This window comes from Homo sapiens, chromosome 3 (assembly GCF_000001405.40).
Source record: "Homo sapiens chromosome 3, GRCh38.p14 Primary Assembly".
NCBI lineage: Eukaryota > Metazoa > Chordata > Mammalia > Primates > Hominidae > Homo > Homo sapiens.
This window is the reverse complement of record NC_000003.12, coordinates 22,024,771-22,048,343: the sequence shown is the minus strand read 5'-3', so window position 1 is coordinate 22,048,343 and position 23,573 is coordinate 22,024,771. Positions and strand designations below refer to the sequence as shown.

General features: G+C 38.6%; 1 protein-coding gene across 8 annotated transcripts in view; it reads left to right on the top strand.

The window, feature by feature from the left end:
- ZNF385D (zinc finger protein 385D) overlaps positions 1-23,573 on the top strand; it is a 960,546-nt gene that overhangs the window by 324,420 nt on the left and 612,553 nt on the right. The window lies entirely within an intron of this gene.

Sequence of the window (23,573 nt, the reverse complement as noted above, 5' to 3'; positions counted from 1 at the left end):
ATACTGGTTTGGGCATTGATTTTTTTGAATATGGCCCCAAAAGGCACAGGGAACAAAAGGAAAAATAGGCTTTTTTTCCAAAAGCAAATGGGATTACAGCAAACTAAAAAAAATTCTGCATAGGAAAGGAAACAACAAATAGAGTAAAGAGACAGCCTACAGAAAAGGAAAAAAATGTTTGCAAACCACCCATCTGGTAAGGCACTATTATCCAAAAAATATATATGGAACTCAATTCAATAGTAAGTAAACAAATAACCTGATTAAGAAATGAAAAAAATGAATGGATGTTTCTCAAAAGAAGACATAGAAATGACCACAAGTAAATGAAAACTGTTCAGCATCACTAATCATCAGGGAAATGCAAATTAAATCCACAATGAGCTATTACCTCATATCTGTTAGAATAATATTAGCAAAAAAACCAATGTAGGTGTTGGTGAAGATGTGAAGTGTTAAAAGGGAAGCCTTGTATCTGAATGGTGGGAAAGTAAATTAGTACAGCCATTATGGAAAACAGTATGAAAATTCCTCAAAAAATTAAAAATAGAATTATCATATGATTTGGCAATCCCACTTCTGGGTATACATCTAAAGAGTATAAAATCAGTATGTCAAATAGATAACTGCACTCCCATGTTCATTGAAGAAACATTCACAATAGCTAAGATACGAAATCAACCTACATATCCACCAATGATGAATGAATAAAGAAAATGTGTATATTTATGCACACAATGAACTATTCAGCATTAAACAGGAAGGAAATCCTGTCATTTATAACAACATGGATGAGCTTGGAGCACATTATGTTAAGTGAAATAAGACAGGCACAGAAAGACAAATACCACATGATCTTACGTACATGTTGAATCTCAAAAAATTTAACTCACAGAAGCAGAAAGTACAATAGTGGTTACTAGAGGCTGAGGAGTGGGGTAATAAAGGATATTGGTGAAAGAATGCATAATTTCAATTAAAAGGAGTAAGTACAAGAGATCTATTGTACATCATGGTCACTTTCGTTAGTATATTATATACTTGAAAATTGCTGAGAGTAGATTGTTGCAGTAGATTTTAAGTGTTCTTACCACCACAAAAAAAAAGTATGTGAGCTGATGCATGATCAAACTAATGCATAAATTAGCTTGATTTAGCCATTCTACAATGTATACATTTCAGAACATCATGTTGTGCACCATACATGTGTATAATTTTTATTTGTCAATCAACAAGAATGTCAGAAGCCTTCATCGTTGACAGAGAAATCAGGTGAACTGTTATTTGTAGTCCAGTTACTGGTATAATTTATCTTAATTCATTATTGGCCACCTGAAAATTAATCAAAAATATGTGTTGTTTGTTTATTCAAATTAGATATAATCTAATCTGGACATATATTTCCCACTTATCTAATGAATCTTATATAGTATAGTATAAAGTGTTTCTGATTTCATATTTTCCTTTGTTTCACAGTTGATGAAATGAATTCCACATTTACTTTACAAATATAAAATAAATTGTTTCTCCAAATACAATTCGACTTAGAAAAGTGCCTTTTGTTGACCAGTATATAATATCTGCTCCAAATGAAATAATGATCAAGATGACACTCAACTCTACCTAGTTTAGTGAGAATCTAACTTTTCTTGAGCGAATTAATGAACAGGTGTTAAATTTCATAGGGGTTAAATGTAATTCAATAAATCTCAATATATTTGCAATTGCTTATATGAATGAAGATGAAAGGAAAAAAATGATGCTTCATTAATATTAGTGGAAGAAGACAAGAAAATTACTTTTCTTCAGTGGTAGCTCTTAAAACATTCCACTTAGCACACATGGGAAAAAAATGTCTAGTAGATTTTTTGGTCGGATTAAATATCAGCAAAACAATTTAAAGGGAATTTTAGCCAATCTACAATGTCTTTTTTATATAAACATAAAATATAGTGGGCTGTCAGGGCATTCTTTTTCAGAGAATGTCTCTATTGAGTATTACGGAACAGTGATAGCGATAGTGAGGAATAAGAGGACTGGTAACATATGGTTAATGAAGCTGCAGCAAAAATGAGCAGTTTTAGAAAATAGAAGTTTATCTAATCTACAAAAATGTGTGTTGGTGCTTTGAATTGAAACCCCGTATGAATATTTTCCTTTGACTTTTTCCTCTTAGTGGCCATTTGTTTATTCCACTTAGCAGATCTCCTGCTGCCCACAGCACTGTCATTTTGGTTGAAACAGTTGTGCTAAGCCACTATCATCAATTTTCCTCCCAGCTGAATCTGCCAGGGTTGACAATTATTATACTAACAAGTGCTTGTTCAGTAATGTTCAGTCATTCAGATTCCCTCCCTCATTATTTTTCTTCCCTGGAGGCAATTGATATGAATAGTCCCTAGCTCTACACCTGGGGCTTGGAGATAGAGAAATTTGTTTAGATCTCCATTATAATTCTACCTCTGATGAGTGGCAAAGAGCTCGAGTTTTGAGTTTTACTTCTCAAGGGCAGCTGGGGCCCCAGGTAGCCTTATAGAAATCGCCAGGTCATGATCTTAGTGTCGCCAGGCTCCATTGGTTTGAGAGAATGGTCAGAAATCTGAAATACAAAAAAAAATAGAAGTGAGATATTTTGAATAATACTCGAAAGTGATTACAGCATATTAGACATAAAATTATTTTTAAAATACCACCTTTACTCAGCACTAGAAATGAGAGTAAAACCCACAGAAAACTGTCTACACTATGCGGGTGCTGTTAAGGGTGAAAAGTAGCACATGAAGAACTCACACCTGAATTTCTAAATACCTTGCTAGGAACTGGAAATGGGGTAGAAATTAAAAGAGAAGTGGGAGCTTATAGGACTCTCTTCCTGGCTTCACAGTGGAGGGGGTTCCCAATTCTGTGGAAGACCAGCCTCTCTTCTTCAGTTCTGGATATCATCTCCCATTCGTATTTCTCAAGAGCCCCTCTCCTTTAGCTCTTTACTGGAATATTTCCATGCTTTTATTATGTTATATTTATTATATGATCACACCAAGCAATAATAACATTTAATCCCTATATTGCACCCCATTGAAAAATCAACTCAAATGGATCAAAGACTTAAATATAAGACCTGGATCTATAAAACTACTAGAGGAAAGCCCCATGATATTGGTTTGGGCAATTATTTTTTTTTTAATATGACCCAAAAGGCACAGGGAACAAAAGGAAAAATAGGCTTTTTTTCCAAAAGCAATAGGGATCCGATGGGAGCTAATAAACAAGTACAGTAAAGTTGCAGGATAAATATCAACAAACAAAAATTAACAGCATTTTTGTTTTTTCGAGATTGAGTTTTGCTCTTGTTGCCCAGGCTGGAGGGCAGTGGCACAATCTCAGCTCAGTCTTTTTTTATGTACCTCTCCGTATTCTGCACCATACTTCCAATTACAGCAAATCACTGTAAGGAAAGTTTCACATTCATCATCTCTTTTTCTCACAAAGAGGATGAGTTCATTTTCTCTCCTCCTCCCATTTCTCACATTTAGCTTAAGTTCTTGTCTTTTGTTTCATGAGAAACTTGAAGATCTTGGAAGAAAAGACTCCCACCACTAGCCTGCCTGCAAGTGTATCCATTCTCTCCACCTTCCTTCCCAATAGAGCAGGTTAACCAAATGGCTCTTAGCAAAGGATAAATCTGTGCCCTGTATCCCATTTCATAACTTTCTAAAAACCTTTACTCCAAAATTCATCACCACCTTCCCTACATAATAAAATTCTCCCTTCTCCAAAACATAAGGATACATTATAATATCTCCTGCTTTTTATTTAAAAATTGCTCTTCTCAGTATTAAAATACTTAAAGTGCTTCAGCCTGTGTCTTTTTAAAAATTTTTATGTTTGTTTTTGTTTTTGTTTGCCTTGCTCTAGGAACTCTATCCCCCAAACACAGTGGGCCAAAGGGTGCTCAGATCTAGGCCAGTTTGGGATGTGATTCGATCAAGCAGCCATTTTAGGACATGTACTAAACATTAGAGAAATCGTTTTAAAATACTGCCAATTAATTCAGATTTCCAAAGACGACTGGTCCCATTCCTAACAAAGTTATCACCTTTGAGTAAACAAACAAATAAGTGAACCATCACCCCTCACTGGTGCCAATTCATCTTTAAGGAGTACTTTTGTGACTATCCATGCAGGCTGTTCTGTACAATCACAGCATACCCACCAAATCCTGAGGCCATTACATTAAAAAAAAAAAAAAAGTTTTTCCCAGGTTTCGTGTTTCATCTCATCACCATGTTTCTTTGTTCCTCTTTAAAGCAAAACTTCCTTTAAAGATCTGAGAATATTTGCTGTCACTTCTACCTAATGTTCCTTTTTTTATTCTCAACCCACTCCAGCCTGGACTGTGGACTTCAAGTCCTTGCTAGCTGTTGGTTGGAGGCCTCCCTCACTTCTTTGCTTACATGATCATCTTCTTAGGGAAGCCAGCCTTATCAAAGCAAGCATGCAAGTAGAGTCAGAGAGAGAGCAAGCAAGATTTTCATCAGATTTTTATAGCCTAATGTTGGAAATGACAACCTGTCATTTTTACCGTATTGTATTAGTTAGAAGCAAATCTCTAGGTCCAGCCACAGTCAATGAGGTGAGGCTGCAACAAGGTCTTGAAGACCCTTAGGCAAGGGTCACTGGTGGGGCATCTCGGAAGTTACCTACCCTCTCTCCTCTGCTAGAAGAGAAGGCAGGGACTATAATGTCTTGTTCACTATACTGTACATCCTCAGCCTTTAGAACAATGTATAGGACATAATAGTTACTCAATATTTACTTGCTCTTGCTGTTTTTGACCAATATACAAGTAAATATGTTTACATAAATAAATTTGATAATTATACTTTCCTTTGTTTTAAAATAGAATCATGTTTAAAATGCAACTCAGTTTGTATCTATGCCTATGTTTGTAGCATGCATGGTTTCAGTACGTTAAAAAATAATTAACAGTTTAGAATCTGGGCCACAGACCTAAACTGTAAGAAACATAATAATTCACTCTCTAATCTTTGACGGTGTTTGAACCATACATTGTTTTCAATGCTTCCAATTAGCAAGATTTCTTTTATAAGGCTTGAAAACTCTAGCCATGATTACATCATTGATAAATTTAGTGCTATTGTTTTGTTTTCTTAACATTAGGGATAAATAACCCAAAGGACTTTCTGCCTTGTTGTTTGTAAACCAAATGACTGCAGCTTTATTCTCTGAGTGGAAAAAATGTCAAGGAATGATCGTGTGGCACAGTCAGCCACAATGGACTTCTCAGTTTGGAGCCTTGTTAAGCTCTGAAACATTTCAGTCTGTGACTGGGTTAATAAGATTCAAAAATGAGAGGATTACAACTGATCCTAGTTGAGAAAATTAGAATTTTAGGTTAGTCCCTTGATTTGGTGATGGCAAAGTTCACACTTCCTGTGTAATATAGAATTTACTTTGACATATGTCTGTGATCTTCCAAAGACAACCAAACACGTCGAGATCAGGCATGAGAGTTTGTTTTGATTCTGAGCTATAAGCAAAATCTGGATGTTCTTGTTTAAATTAGACCTTTACAATAATTTCTGAGTGTTTACTTAGTTCTGGCCAATACCTTTTCTTAGTGAGAAGACTCAGACTTTTGATCCTTTAGAGGAGTGCAACTTGGAAGAGAAGCAATGGGTGTTTTATGGGCTTTCCCAGCAGAGAAGTACATCACCAGAGCTTGATAGCTTTGCCAAAAATTGGACCTGGATGATTATTGAGCTCTTGGAAATAGCTTGTTGTAAAAGAATTATGTGAATACCTTATAGTCTGTTCTACTGCAGAACGATACCTTAAGATGCTCAACCTACCATATGTTTTGTAACACAAAGGAAAAACTTTTTTTTTTAGCCCTATCACAACTAAGTATAGAAATCTACATGCATGGCAAAGAAAGTTAAGTATTCATCGTCAACTGTATAGTAATAATAATGGCTAAAATTGGGCACTTAATATGGGCCATACACTAATCTAAGTTCCTTGTGGGTATTAATAATGTAATACCACAACTCTAGAAGGAAGAGACTGTTATCTTCATTTTGCAGATTAAGAAATGAGGTTTGTAGAGGATTCCCAGTTTCATAACTAGTGAGCCGTGACAAAAGAGTTTGGATCCAGGTAGTAGGATTCCTTGAATTCCAAGCTGGAAATACATAAGGCCAATTCTAGTCCCATGTTTGACCCAATCTGATAAACCTTCAGTAACATATTTAGGAAGTAGTTACCTACCCGCTAATTAACACCACTATGTTTCTCCTATTAAAACACATTTCCAACTTTTGTAAGGCAATAAAATACTGCTAAAAGTTTATACTGGTCTTAATTCAGCCACCAATAATTGCTTTGTATAAATCTACTTTTCTTTCCCTATGAAATTCTTTCTTCAATATTAGAACACAGATATTATAACCTGATTGAACTGTCCATTTCCCTACCTGAACATTCCTTCCTGTTTTTTTCAACCATTCCTTAAGTTTTATGTCCTCCAAGCACATTTATAAATCTCAATTGAATAGACACCAGCTCTTCAGTATCTCTCTTATAATGTAGTTTCTAGCACCTAAAACAATATTTCAGGTGTAATCAGTTAAGTGCAGATCAATATAAATATTGCCACTATTGCTGTAAACAATATACATTGATCAATTCAGTCTGAGCCTATTTTAGTGTTCAGATCACCCAGTTGGTTTATACTGAGTTTAATGGCATCAAAAACCCCAAGAGATTTTTAATAGTAATGATATTGTAGTGAAGCTATGCCTTCCACATTCTGTATTTTAAAAATTGTTTTGAATTTTGTAGTCGATAAGCATTTTAATTGTGGTTTTGCTTAATATAACTTTAACACTTTGCTTAATGATTTCTGACTGATTTTCTTTGTATTACCCCAGTTCTCCAACTTGCAATTCCTGTGGTTGTGTGGAGCTAGGTTTCTCTCTGGGGTGGGCATGGGATCCTTGCCTTGCCAATCAGAGTACTATAGATGCCTGGCTATAGTTCAATGTGAACACATGGCCTATTTCAGAGCTAATGATATGCAACCATGTGTCATTTCTAGAGATTTTTCAGAGAGTTTTTCTCTTCAACTAGACTTGAACCAGAGAGGGGTAAAATATCAACCCTTTTGGTGATAGGAACTTGCTCAGGAGCCAACATAGAGGAAAACAGAGAAGAGAGTGACAGAGCGGGAGAACTGACCTAATGACATCTTTTGAAACCCCTTCATGTGTTTACCTTTAATGTTGTCCTTTAGGTTATATAGTTACTTGAGCCAGTAAATGCGATTCTCTGCTTCTATACTAAGAACCACTGAATTGTACACTGAGAAAAAAGAGAAAATTGTATGGTATATAAATTATATCTCAATTAAAATAAAACTTCCCCCACAAAAAAAGACTCTAGCAAGCAAGACACTTGACCATTGCAAACATAGCATGATATTTATTGCCTTTGTATTTCATTCCATTTACTCTATTTTTTCTAGTCTGTCAATGTATTTGAAATTCTGATTCTATCAGCCTTCTATCCTAGCTTTGCAGCATCAGCAAATTGAATAAGATAGTCTTTTCTGTGTTTCCCTAAACTGTAGACCAAAAATTGCCAAGTCTCCTGAAGTCTAAGACCTTGTTCCCATAATTCTTTACCATGTCCAAAAAGCATACCATCATACCATCTGAGACTACACATTTAATAACCTGTTCAGAAAATGTGTGATTATCATTATTTCTTTTTATCAATGTGTAGTTTCTGAAATTTATTTTTCCCCATTTTAGAAAATCAAAATTACAATTTCCTATCACCCATCAGGACTGTAGCCTTTGGAGTCACATTGCTGGGCTTGCAACCCTTGATCTGTAACACATTTTTTTGTTTGATGTTGGACATATTAATTAGTCTCTGTGCACTTAAGTTCCCTTATCTATAAAATGACGTAATAACCAAACCTTCCTTAAAGTGTAGTAAGAATTAAATGTGAATAATATGAAGAATTTAGTCTTGTGTCAATTAGAATTACAGCAGACAACAGATGATGTACTCAAATTAGGATAATTTGTAAAAGGTTTAATAAAGGAAGCATTTACAAAGATGTGGGCTATGTGTAAGGAAAATCATGAGGGTAATGGTGAAGTTGATCTCACCCTAGACCTACACAATGAGAGGAGGGAGCAGTTGCAGAAACTCAAGAAGAGGAGAGTTAGGTACACACTGAAATCTTGAGACTTGGCCGTTAGTACGAATGCATGGCCAGGTTGAGGCAACGGTGCATGGCGGGAGCAGGAGGCCAAATATTCAGCCTCATGATCCTCCTTGTTTCTGATCTCCTGCTAGGTATCGTAATGGCTACATCCAATTCAAAGTCAGAGGACAAGGGAGCCAGTGGCAGCAGTCTAGCAGTCAATGTAGATCAGCCTTTCAGTCATAGAAAAGGGTGGAAAAGGATGAAGAGTGGTACTGAAGAAGAAAAGAGAAGAAAGACATCCAGGAAAAACTCAACTCCTAAAACGATGTACCCTAATAAGAACTCTTTTTTAAGCAATAGTTATTTAGTTATAATATTCGGGCTCTCCAAGAATCCTGGGGTGTAATTTGCCTGGATTTGCAATGAATTTAACATGAAGCTACGGTTTCTCCTTTTTTATATTATGTATTAGGTTGAATGAAATTGTCATTTTGTAGGTCAAAAATAGCTTAATGCCTAGATTTTTATACAGTTCAAAGTAATATACTAGACTTGACTCCTCTCTAGTCTGATGCAACTAGGATTTAGGTTACATTTTGAGTAAAGAGAGAATGATGAAAAATTTGGCTGGAATGGTAGACTGGAGACAGGAAGATAAGGGCACTGGATGCCATGCTAAGTTCTAAATTTACCATGTACTAGTTGAGAAGCCACTGAAAATGTTAAAACTGGGGTGTGATGCTATCAGGCCTGATTTTAGGAAGTTGACATTTTCTGGGAATAGCATGCCATCTGCCCCTAACAATGAGCCTGCTTATACATAGACTCTTTTTTTTTTTTTTTTTTGGCTTGGATTATAGCCAAATCAACAGTGTTTATTGTTACTAGTATTTTTAGAAGCTTCCATTCATCATTCACATCAGTCAAATGGACATCCTTAGAGGTTTTTTGCTACTTTTTACATAGTTTTGCTATATGCTTCCACTTCTGGCTCGTTCACATGGTCTGCATAGGGATCGTTTGTAATTATTTTGCTAACATTACATAGTGAGAGCCCATAGCTTCTTCAGATCACTACATAAATTACAAGGTATTGTTAAAATGAAAGATAAAATTATGTGATTATAATTTAGATACTCTTCATTGAGTCATGCCTGATCATATTTATTATAACTTTGTTATAATAAAAAATATATATGTTTATATATAATAAAAATAAAATATAACCTTATTATATCTTTGTTATGATAGACACAATAATGACCATGTTCATCACTTCAGTGCACATTTTAAAAATGTGCTTAACTACAGGAGCTAGGGTATATATTTTTTCCTTAGTGTGTATGAAATCTATAATCTTAACATCCATTATCAAGATCTAAAATTCTTGATGCTAACATATTTAACTTTTTGTTTATTAGATCCAAAAGAATTAGAATTAAATTTCCAAATTACACTAGTTTTTTCAAACTTTTGATTAAACTGTTAAAAAAGCAAATGAGGACTGTGTTTCAAACTGTGCTTTTAGTAGAATAAATTTTATTTCAGCCTGTAGATTATAATGATAATGATGACAACAACAGTACAAATAACATTTGCCAATGCTACCTCTGCTCCAGTCTCCATTTTAACTATTGCATATATCATTTAATTGCTTTCCCCAACTCTGTGAAACAGGTGCTACTGAAGTAACTGAGGCCAAGAAAAATTAGGTAACAAGTCCAAGGACATGCTGATAATAAGTGAGAAAGCCAGTATTCTAAGCTAGGCAATTCGACTCCAGGGATTATGAAAGTAGTCCCAATTTATAGTTTCCTCAGTTAATTTAAGAGCCCATCTCTACCACATTTTTATCTTTCTTGAATGTTTTATAATTTCAATCAAGAAAACTCCTTCATGTGTCATTATTCATCTTGTTATCTCCTACACTTCGTAGTTCAGCAATTTGCTCTAGGTTGGTGCCAAATAAACCCAGATGGAGTTCAATTTCATGTGCCTAACATTTAAGTCTTTAATCCATCTTGAATTAATTTTTGTATAAGGTGTAAGGAAGGGATCCAGTTTCAGCTTTCTACATATGGCTAGCCAGTTTTCCCAGCACCATTTATTAAATAGGGAATCCTTTCCCCATTTCTTGTTTTTGTCAGGTTTGTCAAAGATCAGATAGTTGTAGATATGTGGCATTATTTGTGAGGGCTCTGTTCTGTTCCATTGGTCTATATCTCTGTTTTGGTACCAGTACCATGCTGTTTTGTTAGACCTAAAACCATAAAAACCCTAGAAGAAAACCTAGGCAATACCATTCAGGACATAGGCATGGGCAAGGACTTCATGTCTAAAACACCAAAAGCAATGACAACAAAAGCCAAAATTGACAAATGGGATCTAATTAAACTAAAGAGCTTCTGCACAGCAAAAGAAACTACCATCAGAGTGAACAGTCAACCTACAGAATGGGAGAAAATTTTTGCAATCTACTCATCTGACAAAGGGCTAATATCCAGAATCTACAATGAACTCCAACAAATTTACAAGAAAAAAACAACCCCATCAAAAAGTGGGTGAAGGATATGAACAGACACTTCTCAAAAGAAGACATTTATGCAGCCAACAGACACGTGAAAAAATGCTCATCATCACTGGCCATCAGAGAAATGCAAATCAAAACCACAATGAGATACCATCTCACACCAGTTAGAATAGCAATCATTAAAAAGTCAGGAAACAACAGGTGCTGGAGAGGATGTGGAGAAATAGGAACACTTTTACACTGTTGGTGGGACTGTAAACTAGTTCAACCATTGTGGAAGACAGTGTGGTGATTCCTCAGGGATCTAGAACTAGAAATACCATTTGACCCAGCCATCCCATTCCTGGGTATATACCCAAAGGATTATAAAACATGCTGCTATAAAGACACATGCACACGTATGTTTATTGCGGCACTATTCACAATAGCAAAGACTTGGAACCAACCCAAATACCCAACAACGATAGACTGGATTAAGAAAATGTGGCACATATACACCATAAAATACTATGCAGCCATAAAAAATGATGACTTCATGTTCTTTTTGGGATATGGATGAAGCTGGAAACCATCATTCTCAGCAAACTATCACAGGGACAAAAAACCAAACACCACATGTTCTCACTCATAGGTGGGAATTGAACAATGAGAACACATGGACACGGGAAGGGGAACATCACACACTGGGGCCTGTTGTGGGGTGGGGGGAGGGGGGAGGGATAGCATTAGGAGATATACCTAATGTTAAATGACGAGTTAATGGGTACAGCACACCAACATGGCACATGTATACATATGTAGCAAACTTGCACGTTGTGCACATGTACCCTAAAACTTAGAGTATAAAAAAAAAAAAAAAAAACCTAGTAGGGCTACTCTTCTTTCTCGTATTGTATTCTAAAAGAAGGGTTTTATGGTAGAAGGTGCTCTTTGCTTGTTTTTGCAATTTGTAAGCAACCAAACTGTTTTATGATTATAAAAATGAAATAATTTGTTTTTTTCCTAAAAAAAAATTCATTTGCCATATACTCATATCACTACTATTTCTTTCCATTTTTCCTTTCTCAGTTAAGTATTTTCCACTATTTCCTTTCCCCTTGGTTTGTGAATTTCTCGATAGGTCAGTTTTCTTGTCAATTGATATTACTCACATGCTTTTCCTACTGAATTCATTTTATGTTTAGAAGACATATTCCAATCATTTGTCTCATTGGGCCAAAACTTGGTTATATCTTTCTGGTCACAGCTACCAGTCTGCATTAAAATATATATTTGGTTGATTAACTGTGATCTGCTTTGGGGAAAAGTGATTATGTTCTGTATTCTTCCCTGTTGTTTACCTCTGAGAAGAATTGAGTACCTTCACCCCCATGAATCCTTTCCCTTTCACCTGAGATTCTCAATTGATATAACTTCTACTGTTATAACCACATTTTTTCTCTAACTACTGTACATCGTTGAATTTCATGCATGTTATTTTAAATACTCATGGTGGAGTTAGGATTCCTCCCAGGATACCCTTGTCTTCTTTTTATCCAAGGTGTCAAGGCTCAGAAAAACACATAAGTCTTATTTTGACTCTTCATTTTCCATTTCTGCTTTTCTCTTTTTAACTATGTCTTTTATCTTGGAAAAAAAAACTGTGAAAGTACCACCTGTGTCCCTAATCATTTATCAGCAAGCCACTGGCAAACTACGTGTTTCCACTGCCTGGAACTCATAACAAGATCCACAATATTTTTAGATCCTAGAATCCTCTTCATTTTTCTGCAGAGTGGTCATAATTTTGGAGTCTACATTCTGCATCTTAGAATGAACCACAGCCCCTTATTTCTTTCAGAAACTCCCCTTAGAAACACTCATGGCCCATTGCTTGTTTTCTAGGGGTCTTGCTGATTAGGTGGGGGTTTCAGAGATTACTGCTGTTAGGCTGATCTGGCTACTTAACTTTCTCTGCCTCTGCTACATTTCTACCATTATGACAATTCATCAAAGACAATTACTTAAGCAAGCACTCAGAACTTAGGTCACAGTATTGAAAAACAAACCAATTTTAAAACTAATTTTAAAATGTTGTTTTTCAGAAGCTATCTTTTATGGTTTGTGTTCTGTTATGCTCTGGGCTTAACTGATAAGTATTGGATTTCTGTTTTTAATGAAAAGGGAATTATACTTGGATTTAGTGCAACATTTTGCTTAACATTCAAAATATCTTTTAAAAGACAGGAGAAGATATTGCTAGATGGGCACTGGGAACAAGACTGTCCAGCCCTGTTTCTCATAATTTAAATGCCATTATTTTGACCTATGAGGACAAGGTTGCAAAGTTTTACCTTTCCTTCTTAGCATACCAGTTGTATTGAACCCAGTTATTTTTAATTGCGATCAAACTAAATGATACAAGTGATTTAACACAGTTCATCCAGAACATTTTATGTTCACTTTCTAGTTCATTGATACCCAAATGTAGGATAATGTTACTTTATTCAATGTTCAGTGATTTTCTTGCATGAACAACAGTATATAAATCGACAATGTTGACTTTATGTACAAATTTTATGTACAAAACAATATAAAAATTGTACCATTTTATAAATTTTTCCTATTGATATGTTTTAAAGTATTTGACATGTAAATCATGAAATACTATTATTCTGTAAGATAAATTCAACATATCTCCGGGCTGACTTTTAGATATTTTTTATTAAATTATCATATACATTTCTTTCACCTAGAATATCAAGGACAGTTTTAAAATGTAAAATATTTTCTCTCATTATTGCTGTTCTACCATGCCTAATGATACTTACTTTTTAAATATTTATTGAGTTATTCTTGAATTAAAACATTTGTGAAATTATAATATTCTTTAAAATAGGTCTGTAAGAAAACTGGATTGTATTAACATTTTATTATACCAATTATGAGGTTATCTGATAGCTCCAACATCTATTTCTTTTGTTGTACAATGTCTTAAATATATGATATTAATACATATTTTTACAATTCAAATTGATTTCTTTTTTCCTCATTTTAAATTGCTTTCTGTAAAGAATTTTACCATGTAAATTCTGCTTTTTGAGATCAAATTTACAATAATTATGGTGGAGTGTATCTTAGTTGGGCCGCTAAGACTAAGACTTGGTGGCATATAAATAACAGAAATAAATTTCTCACAGTTTTGGAGGCTGGAAGTTGAAATCAGGGTGCTGGCATGGTCAGGTTCTCATGAGGGCCATTTTCCAGGTTACAAACTGCCAGCTTCTTGTTTTGTCTTCATATGACTGGGAGCAGAGAGAGGAGGACAGCTCTCTTTTGACTCCTGTAAGATCACTAATTTCATTCACGAGAACTTCGCCCTGAAGACTTCATCTAATTCTAATCTCCCAAAGTCCTCATCTTATAATGCAATCACATTGGGGAATAAAGTTTCAAGGTATGAATTTGGGGGGAACACAAACATTCAGTCCACAGCAGGGTGTTAATATAATGTACTATCCTGATAAGATGGTTAACCATCTCGGTTTGCTCAGGACTTACAGGGTTCTCTGAAAGCAGGACTTTACGTTTTAAAAAAGGGACTGTCCTAAGCAAACCGTCTCAGGTTTCCTGGAGAAAGTAGTTGCTCAGCACACAGGATTTTCAGTATTAAAACAAGGAAAGTACTGGGTGAAGTAGGATGAATTGGTAACCTTACATCCTGATTATAGATTTTAATTTAGAGAATTTTTAGTCATAGTGCTTGGTAACTGAAGTGAACAGTAAAGATAATCCAGTGTAACCTACTACAGTCAGACTGCTCAAATAAGGGGTTCTATGGAAAATTGCTTTTTATGTCTTTAATTTATTCTCAATCACAGATTGTTCAAGGAATATAGTAGACATTGTTCTTGTTATAATCACCTTAATTTCTTTGGTGATAGTTCATCGAGTGATTTTAGTTTGCATTTTGCTCTCAGAATGCATTTCTCTGGGTGGTTACACTGAACACTGATAGATACTACCTCCTTCTGTGACATACTCATAATTTCGGTGAAATTTAAGGTCTTTTAAAATATATTCTATTCCTTTTCCTTCAAAAAGATTTCCCTGGTTCCATTAGCTTATGTCTTTAACTCATATCACTGTGCATTATTATTATTATTATTATTATTATTATTATTATTATTTTGGAGCCAGCCTTGCTCTGTCACCCAGGTTGGAGTGCAGTGGCATGATCTTGGCTCACTGCAACCTCTGTCTCCTGGGTTCAAGTTATTCTCATGCCTCAGCCTCCAGAGTAGCTGGGATGACAGGCACGCGCCACCATGCCAGGCTGATTTTTGTATTTTTAGTAGAGACAGGGTTCCACCATGTTGTCCCGTTTGGTCTCGAATGCCTGAGCTCAAGCTATCGACCTGCCTCAGCCTCCTAAAGTGCTAGGGTTACAAGAGTGCGCCACTGTGCCCGGCCTCACTGTTCATTCTATACTCTTTGACCTCGCAGCATGGAATCAAAATGTCTTGGGCAGAAATTCAATCTCGGAATCTTGATTCTGTCTTCTTCTTCTCAGTCTGCAGTATAGCACAGGGTCTAAGAGCAAGAGTTTTATAACGGAATGATGCAGATCAAACTTTCATGCTACTATTTGCTAGCTGTGGGACTTTGGGCAAGTTACTTTACCTCTCTGTGCCTCAGTACTCTCAAATGCTTAATTAGGATGATAATGGGAACGCTAGCTCAGGGGTAATTGTGGAGGTTAAAATTAATACATCTAAAGCATGCAAATCAGTCCAAAGCATATAGTAAGTACTCAGTAAGCATTAGTATTATTAATCGTGATTGTTTTTCAGCCGACCCCATAAGTTACCATTTACCTAAATGCCCTTTCCCTAACTGCCTGCTTTTATTTAATTGTTTAGTACTTGTCAGTGTGTAGTTTAATTTGCCAGATCTATGTTAACCTTAGCGCTAAGAAAGTCACCTCTGTTACTAGTTCTATACACTGCTTAGGACCATATATATAGGGAGTGATATGGTTTGGCCCTGTGTCCCTACCCAAATCTCATCTCAAATTGTAATCCCCATGTGTCAAGGGAAGAACCTGGTGGGTGGTGATTAGATCATGGGCATAGTTTCCTCCATGCTGTTCTAGTGATAGTGAGGGGGTTCTCATGAGATCCGATAGTTTGTAAAATGACAGTTTCCTCTACATGTGCTCTCTTGCTCTTCTCTCTCCTGCTGCCTTGTCAAGAAGTACTTGCTTTTCCTTTGCCTTCCACCACAATTGCAAGTTTCCTGAGTCCTCCCCAGCCTGGTATAAAGATAATGTGAAAATGTGGGAGCCACTTTGGATCTGGGTAACTGGCAGAGGTTGAAACAGTTTGGAAGGCTCAGAAGAAGACAGGAAGATGTGGGAAACTTCGGAAGTTCCTAGAGACTTGTTGAATGGTTTTGACAAAATGCTTATAGTAATAGGGACAATGAAGTCCCAGCTGGGGTGGTCTCAGATGGAGATGAGGAACTTATTGGGAACTGGAGCAAAGGTCACTCTTGCTATGCTTTAGCAGAAAGACTGGTGGCATTTTGCCCCTGCCCTAGAGATCTGTGGAACTTTGAACTTGAGAGAAATGACTTAGGGTATCTGGTAAAAGAAATTTCTAAGCAGCAAAGCATTCAAGATATGGCCTAGCTGATTCTGAAAGTGTTTATTTATATGTGTTCACAAAGAGATAGTTTGAAATTGGAACTTATGTTTAAAGGGGAAGCAGAACATAAAAGTTTGGAAATTGGCAGCGTGACCATGCGGTAGAAAAGAGAAACCCATTTTCTGGGTTGAAATTGAAGCCTGCTGCAGATATTTGCATAAGTAACAAGAAGGCAAATGTTAATAACCAGCACAATGGGGAAAATGTCTCCAGGGCATGTCAGAGATCTTCTCAGCAGCCCCTCCAATCATAGGCCCATCATAGGAGGGAAAAAATGGTTTTGTAGGCCCAGTCCAGGGACACGCTGCTCTGTGCAGACTCAGGACTTGGTGCCCTGCATCTCAGCCGCTCCAACTCCAGCCGTGGCTAAAAGGGGCAAGGTGCAGCTCAGGCCATGGCTTCAAAGGGTGCAAGACCCAAGCCTTGGAGGCTTCCACATGGTGTTGGGTCTACGGGTGTGCAGAATACAAGAGCTGAGGTTTTGGGAACCTCTGCCTAGATTTTAAAGAATGTAGACAAATACCTGGATGTCCAGACAGAAGCCTGCTGCAGGGGCAGAGCCCCTCATGAAGAACCTCTACTAGGGCAATATGCAAGGGAAATGTGGGCTTGGAGCCCCCACAGAATCCCTACTGGGGCACTGCCTAGAAGAGCCGTGAGAAAAGGGCTACCATTCTTCAGACCCTAGAAATTTAGATCCACTGACAGCTTTCACCTTGCACTTGGAAAAGCTGCAGGCACTCAACACCAGCCTAAGAAAGCAGCCACGTGGCTGAATCCTGCAAAGCCACAGGGGCAGAGCTGCTAAAGCATTGAGAGCCCACCCCTTGTATCAGGATGTCCTGGATATGAGACATAGAATCAAAGGAGACTTTGAAATCTTAAGGTTTAATGACTGCCCAGCCGGGTTTCAGAATTGCATGGGGCCTGTGGCACCTTTGTTTTGACCAATCTCTTTCATTTGGAATGGGAACTTTTACTTAATGCCTGTACCTCCACTGTGTCTTGGAAATAACTAACTTGTTTTTGATTTTACAGGTTCATAGGTAGAAGGGACTTGTCTCAGATGACACTTTGGACTTGGACTTTTCAGTTAATGCTGGAATGAGTTAAGACTTTAGAGGAATGTTGGGAAGGCATAACTGGTTTTGAAATGTGAAAAAGACATGAGATTTAGGAGGGGCCAGGGCAGAATGATATGGTTTGGCTTTGTGTCACCACCTGAATCTCATCTCAAATTGTAATCTTCATGTGTCAAGGGAGAAACCTGGTGGGAGGTGATTTGAACACAGAAATGGTTTCCTCCATGCTGTTCTCATGATACTGAGGGAGGTTTCCCAAGATCTGATGTTTTTTAAAATGACAGTTTCCTCTGTGCACTCTCTCACTCTCTTTCTCTCTCTGTGTCTCTCTCTCTCCCTCCCTCTCTCTCTCCCTCCTGCCACTTTGTAAAAAAGTTACTTGCTTATCCCTTGACTTTCACCATGATTGTAAGTTTCCTGAGGCCTCTTAAACCATGTGAAATTATGAGTCAATTAAACCATATTAGTCAGAGTTCTCTTCGAGGGATGGACCAAATAGGATATATATATATATATATATATATATATATATATATATATATATATGAATGAGTTTATTAAGTATTAACTTGCATGATCGCAAGATCCCACAATAGGCTGTCTTCAAGCTGAGGAGCAAGTAGAGCCAGTCCAAGTCCCAAAACTGAAGAACTTGGAGTCTGATGTTCAAGAGCAGGAAGCATTGAGCATGGGAGAAAGATATAGACTGGGAGGCTAGGCTCATCTCACTCTTGCATGTTTTTTTCTGCATGCTTTATATTTGCTGGCAGCTGATTAGGCTGTGCCCACCAGATTAAGGGTGGGTCTGCCTTCCCCAGCCCACTGACTCAAATGTTAATCTCCTTCAGCAACACCCTCACAGACACATCCAGGGGATCAATACTTTGTATATCGTTCAATCCAATCAAGTTGATACTCAGTATTAACCATCACAAGTCCACCCCTTGTCAACTTGAACCCATACACATCTCCCGAGATCATACATAATCTTCAAATAAAGACAATGTCATAATTACGCCTAACATAATACAACTACCCTTCATACAACTAGAAATGCACCAATCCCCAACCCAAATACTATTACAGAAAGTTAACAACACTTAAATGTGATATGAAGTCAAAAAATCTCATGTCACGTGATAAAGAAAAAGGAAATAAAAGGAAGACATTTTCTTAGTACAAGTGTATATATGCACAAACATGTTTTTAACAAAAGAAGAAGGAAATACTCATGATAACAGTCCTCGTTTCCATAGCTGGTCATGTGGTTATAGCTGGTATTGATGATTACCTTTTATCTACTATTTATTCTGTGTTTTCCTTGCCTTCAGCAAGCACCTCAGCAGGTCGCGGGTTTTTTCCTGCTGGAGTAAACCAAACCTTCATTCCTGAGGGGTCTGGACCATTTGTAGTCCTGCCTGAATTGGGCTGTTGTAGTTTCCCATTGACCTTAATCACAGGGCATGGTCATACTATGAGAAGCCCTAATGGATCTCCTATATTCCATGCATACTCTTCCTTACTTCCATGCTGGAGTAATAGATTAATTTCATCTTGATAGTGCAAGTAAGTCACCCAAACCAACACTGTAACTCCCTTCTTAGCCTGTTGTCTTAAAGGTAGGAGGAGCACAAAGTGTCCAGGTGGCGATCATAACTTCCAGTTTAATGGAATTGTTGTGTCTCCTGGTGGCAGCGTTCCTCCCTCTGGAACTAAGACCTCTAGGCCAGCAGAATGTAATGTCACGGGAACAGGAAGCAAAAACTGTGCTAGTGGATCACTAGGGATGATGGTGAGTGGTGCCACTTCCACTTCCACCCCTTGATTCCTGGACCCATGAATCATGGCTATGGGAGAAACAGTACCATATATTGTATGCTGATTCAGAGCACACATGGTCTTCTAGAGAACTTTGCCCCAGCCCTGCAAAGTATAGTCCCCTAGTTGACATTGTATTTGTGACTTCCAAAGGCCATTCCAATGTTTTATAAATCCAGCTGCTTCAAGATGATGGGGAACATGGGAAGACCAGTGAATTCCATGAATCTGAGCCCACTGCCACACTTCTTTAGCCATAAAGTGAATGCCTTGGTCTGAGGCAATGCTGTGTGGAATACCATGATCATGGATAAGGCATCCCATAAGTCCACAGATGGTAGTCTTGGCAGAAGCATTGTGTGCAGGATAGGCAAACCCATATCCAGAGTAAATGTCCACTCCAGTGAGGACAAACCTCTACCCTTTCCGTGATGGAAGAGGTCCGAAATAATCAACCTGCCACCAGGTAGCTGGCTGATCACCCCGAGGAATGGTGCCATATTGAGGGCTCAGTGTTGGTCTCTGCTGCTGGCAAATCGGGCATCCAGCAGTGGCCATAACCAGGTCAGCCTTGGTGAGTGGAAGTACATGTTGCTGAGCCCATGCGTAACCTCCATCCCTGCCACCATGGCCACTTTTTTCATGGGCCCACTGGGCGATGACAGAGGTGGCTGGTGAAAGAGGCTGAGTTGTGTTGACAGAACAGGTCATTCTATCTACTTGATTATTAAAATTCTCTTCTGCTGAGGTCACATGTTGGTTAATATCACATGGAATACAAGCATCTTCACAGTTTTTGACCACTTAGAGGTGACCATCCACATACCTCTTCCCCAAATTTGTTACCAGTTTTCCAAGCATGCTTCTTCCAAGTCCCTGACCATCCAGCCAAACCATTGACTACAGCCCATGAATCGGTGTATAATCGTACATCTGACCATTTCTCCTTACATGCAGAGTGAGCAACCAGGTGCACTGCTCGAAGTTCTGCCCACTGGGAAGATTTCACTTCACTGCTATCCTTCAGGGATGTCCTAGAAAGGGGCTGTAGTGCTGCAGCTCTCCACTTTTGGTAGTGCCTGCATATAGTGCAGAACCATCTGTGAACCAGGCCCTAGTCTTCTCTTCCTCTGTCAACTGATCATAGAGAACCCCCCATGAGGCCATTGTTGCAGGCTGGGGTAGAGAAGGCAGGAGTGGAGACCATGGGCATTTGAGCCACTTTCTCATGTAACTTGTGCCTTCAGGACCTGCTTGAGCCCAATTATGTATATACCACTTCTATTTGATGATGGAATGCAGCTGTGCGTGACCCACTTTATGGCTAGACAGGTCAGAAAGCACCCAGTTCATGATAGGCAGTTCAGGTGGCATGGTGATTTGATGAGCCATAGTCAAATGTCCAGTTTCCACCAAAGCCCAGTAACAGGCCAAGAGCTGTCTCTCAAAAGGAGAGTAGTTATCTGCAGAAGATGGCAGGACCTTGCTCCAAAATCCTAGAGGCCTCCACTGTGATTCATCAATGGGGACCTGCCAAAGGCTTGAAACAGCATCCCTATCTGTCACTGACTCCTCAAGCACTATTGGATCTGCTGGATCATATGGCCCAAGTGGCAGAGCAGCTTGCACAGCAGCCTGGAGCTGTTGCAGAACCTTCCCCTGTTCGGGACCCCATTCAAAACTAACAGTCTTTCAGGTCACTCAGTAAATGGGCCAGAGTAGCACACCCAAATGAGGAATGTGTTGCCTCCAAAATCCAAATAAGTGGACTAGGCATTGTACCTCTTTCTTGGTTGTAGGAGGGGCCAAATGCAGCAACTTATCCTTCACCTTAGAAGGAGTATCTGAGCTAATACACCCCTGAGGTAGGACAGTAAAGGTATATTGCTGCACTTGCCAGCTGAAGGCAAATTGCTTTGGGTGGGCCTTATGGACAGGAATGGAGAAAAAGAAATTTGCCAAGTCAATGGCTGCATACCAGGTACCAGGATATGTGTTAATTTGCTCAAGCAATGAAACCACATGTGGTGCAACAGCTGAAATTGGAGTCACTGTTTGGTTAATCTTACAATAATCCACCACCATTCTCCAAGATCCCTCTGTCTTCTGCACAGGCCAAATGAAATAGTTGAATGGGGACGTGGTGGGAATCACCACCCTTGCATCTTTCAAGTCCTTGATGGTGGCACTAATGTTCTCAATCCCTCCAGGGATGCAATATTGTTTTTGATTTACTATTTTTCTAGGTAGAGGCAGCTCTAATGGCTTCCATTTGGCCTTTCCCACCATAATAACCCTCACTCTACCGCTCAGGAAGTCAATGTGAGGACTCTGCCAGCTGCTAAATATGTCTATGCCAATTACGCATTCTGGCATTGGGGAAATGACCACAGGATGAGTCCGAGGACCCACTGGATCTGCTGTAAGTAGGACCTGAGCTAAAACTCCATTAATTGTCTGACTTCCATAAGTCCCTACTTTAACTGGAGGACCACAGTGACATTCTGGATCCCCTAAAATCAACAGCTCAGAGCCAGCGTCCAGTAGTCCCTGAAATGTCTCATCATTTCCCTTTCCCCAATGCAGTTACCTGGTAAAAGGCTAGAGGTTTCCTTGGGGAAGGATGGGAGAAAGATTCACCACATAAATTGTCGGTAATGTAGGGGGGTCCTTTCTCAAGGGGTTCTGGCCTCCCCTTCATTCAAGGGGTTTAGGATCTGTAAACTGGGTCAAGTCTTGAAATTGAGGGGCCATGATTCTCTGTTTTTATAATTAAAATTAGTCTTCTGTCCATTTGACCTAGAATTTTTTTCTGTTTGTATAATGTAGGTAGGAATGCAGTAGGCTTCCTATCAATTTCACTTCTAACAATTTCACTTCCTATCAATGTCAACCTCTAGCAACACTATGATTAATTAGACAATGCCAGAGCTCTACTCGAGTCAGCCTATTCTGATTGCTGCTTTGCCTCTGCTGTCCATTATGGTAGCTATGCCCACCTTGCCTTTGATGGTTGGGTGCTGCCACTTGGCCCCTGCCACCTTGAGATCCAATTATTCATATAGTATTTACATTTTGTAGTTGAATGACTGCCGTTGCCACGGTTATATCTGACATACAGAGAAGAGCAATTACAGGGCTCTTCGAAGATGCAGGTGCTGCCCTCACAAGGCATTGGTCCAGGGTATATCTTGTGGACCCTCCCAGCTGGGATGAATAGGTCTAAAGCGATTAACCCACTCCACCATCCCAATCTCCCTAAGCCTTTGGATCCCTTCCTCTACATTAAACCAAGGGAGATCAGGCATTTCCAGCTCGCTCACAGTGGGCCATCTTTTAATCCATATTTCAGCTAACCAAGCAAATAAACTGTTAGAACCTTTTTAAACTCCCTGAGCTGCAACATTAAATGCAGAGTTCCTACTTACAGGGCCCAAATCGATAAATTCACCCTGATCCAACTCTATGTTTCTTCCACCATTATTCCATACCCTTAAAATCCATTCCCATGCCTGTTCTCCAGATTGCTGTTTATATAGATTAGAGAACTCAAAGTTCTTTTCGAGTGTAGCACACCTCCTCATGGGTCACACTCTCAACGTCACCTCTAGGGACCCTCTAGGACTTTAGTTATAGGTCCACAAGCAAACAGAGGTTTTGGGGGTGGCTTCTAAGGAGAATCAACATTATCTTTCCTGGCAACTGCCTCAGGGGAGGCCATCACTGTTGCCTCAGGCAGTGCATAGTTTATGTCCTTAGACAGAAGTGGAAAGGCTGATGGCAGCATGGGTGAGGAGGGTATGTTGCCACTACTGGGGATGGGGAAGCTGTTCCTTCTGGCAAAAAGTGTTCATCAGAATTTACAAACTCAGTGTCCCCAGCTTCATCAGGGTCCTCCCACATGTCCCCATTCCAAGTTGCAGGGTCCCATTCTTTTTAATCAATGCCCTCACTTTAACAGTAGACCCCTGGTGAGGCTGCGCACGCATCTTTTGTTTCAGGTCAGCCACTTGCATGATAAGAGCTTGTGTCTATTTTTCCACAATTTCAGCTCTTTCTCTACAGGAGATAAAACTCTCACTCAGGGAATCTTACCAGATTTGAGGCTCAGTATCTGCTTCTGAAGCTGGGAGACAGAATCCCTGAGGTCATCATTTTCTTTCATCACTTTGTTCACTGAACTTAGGAGCAACCATCCAGCTTCGTTACGTTCC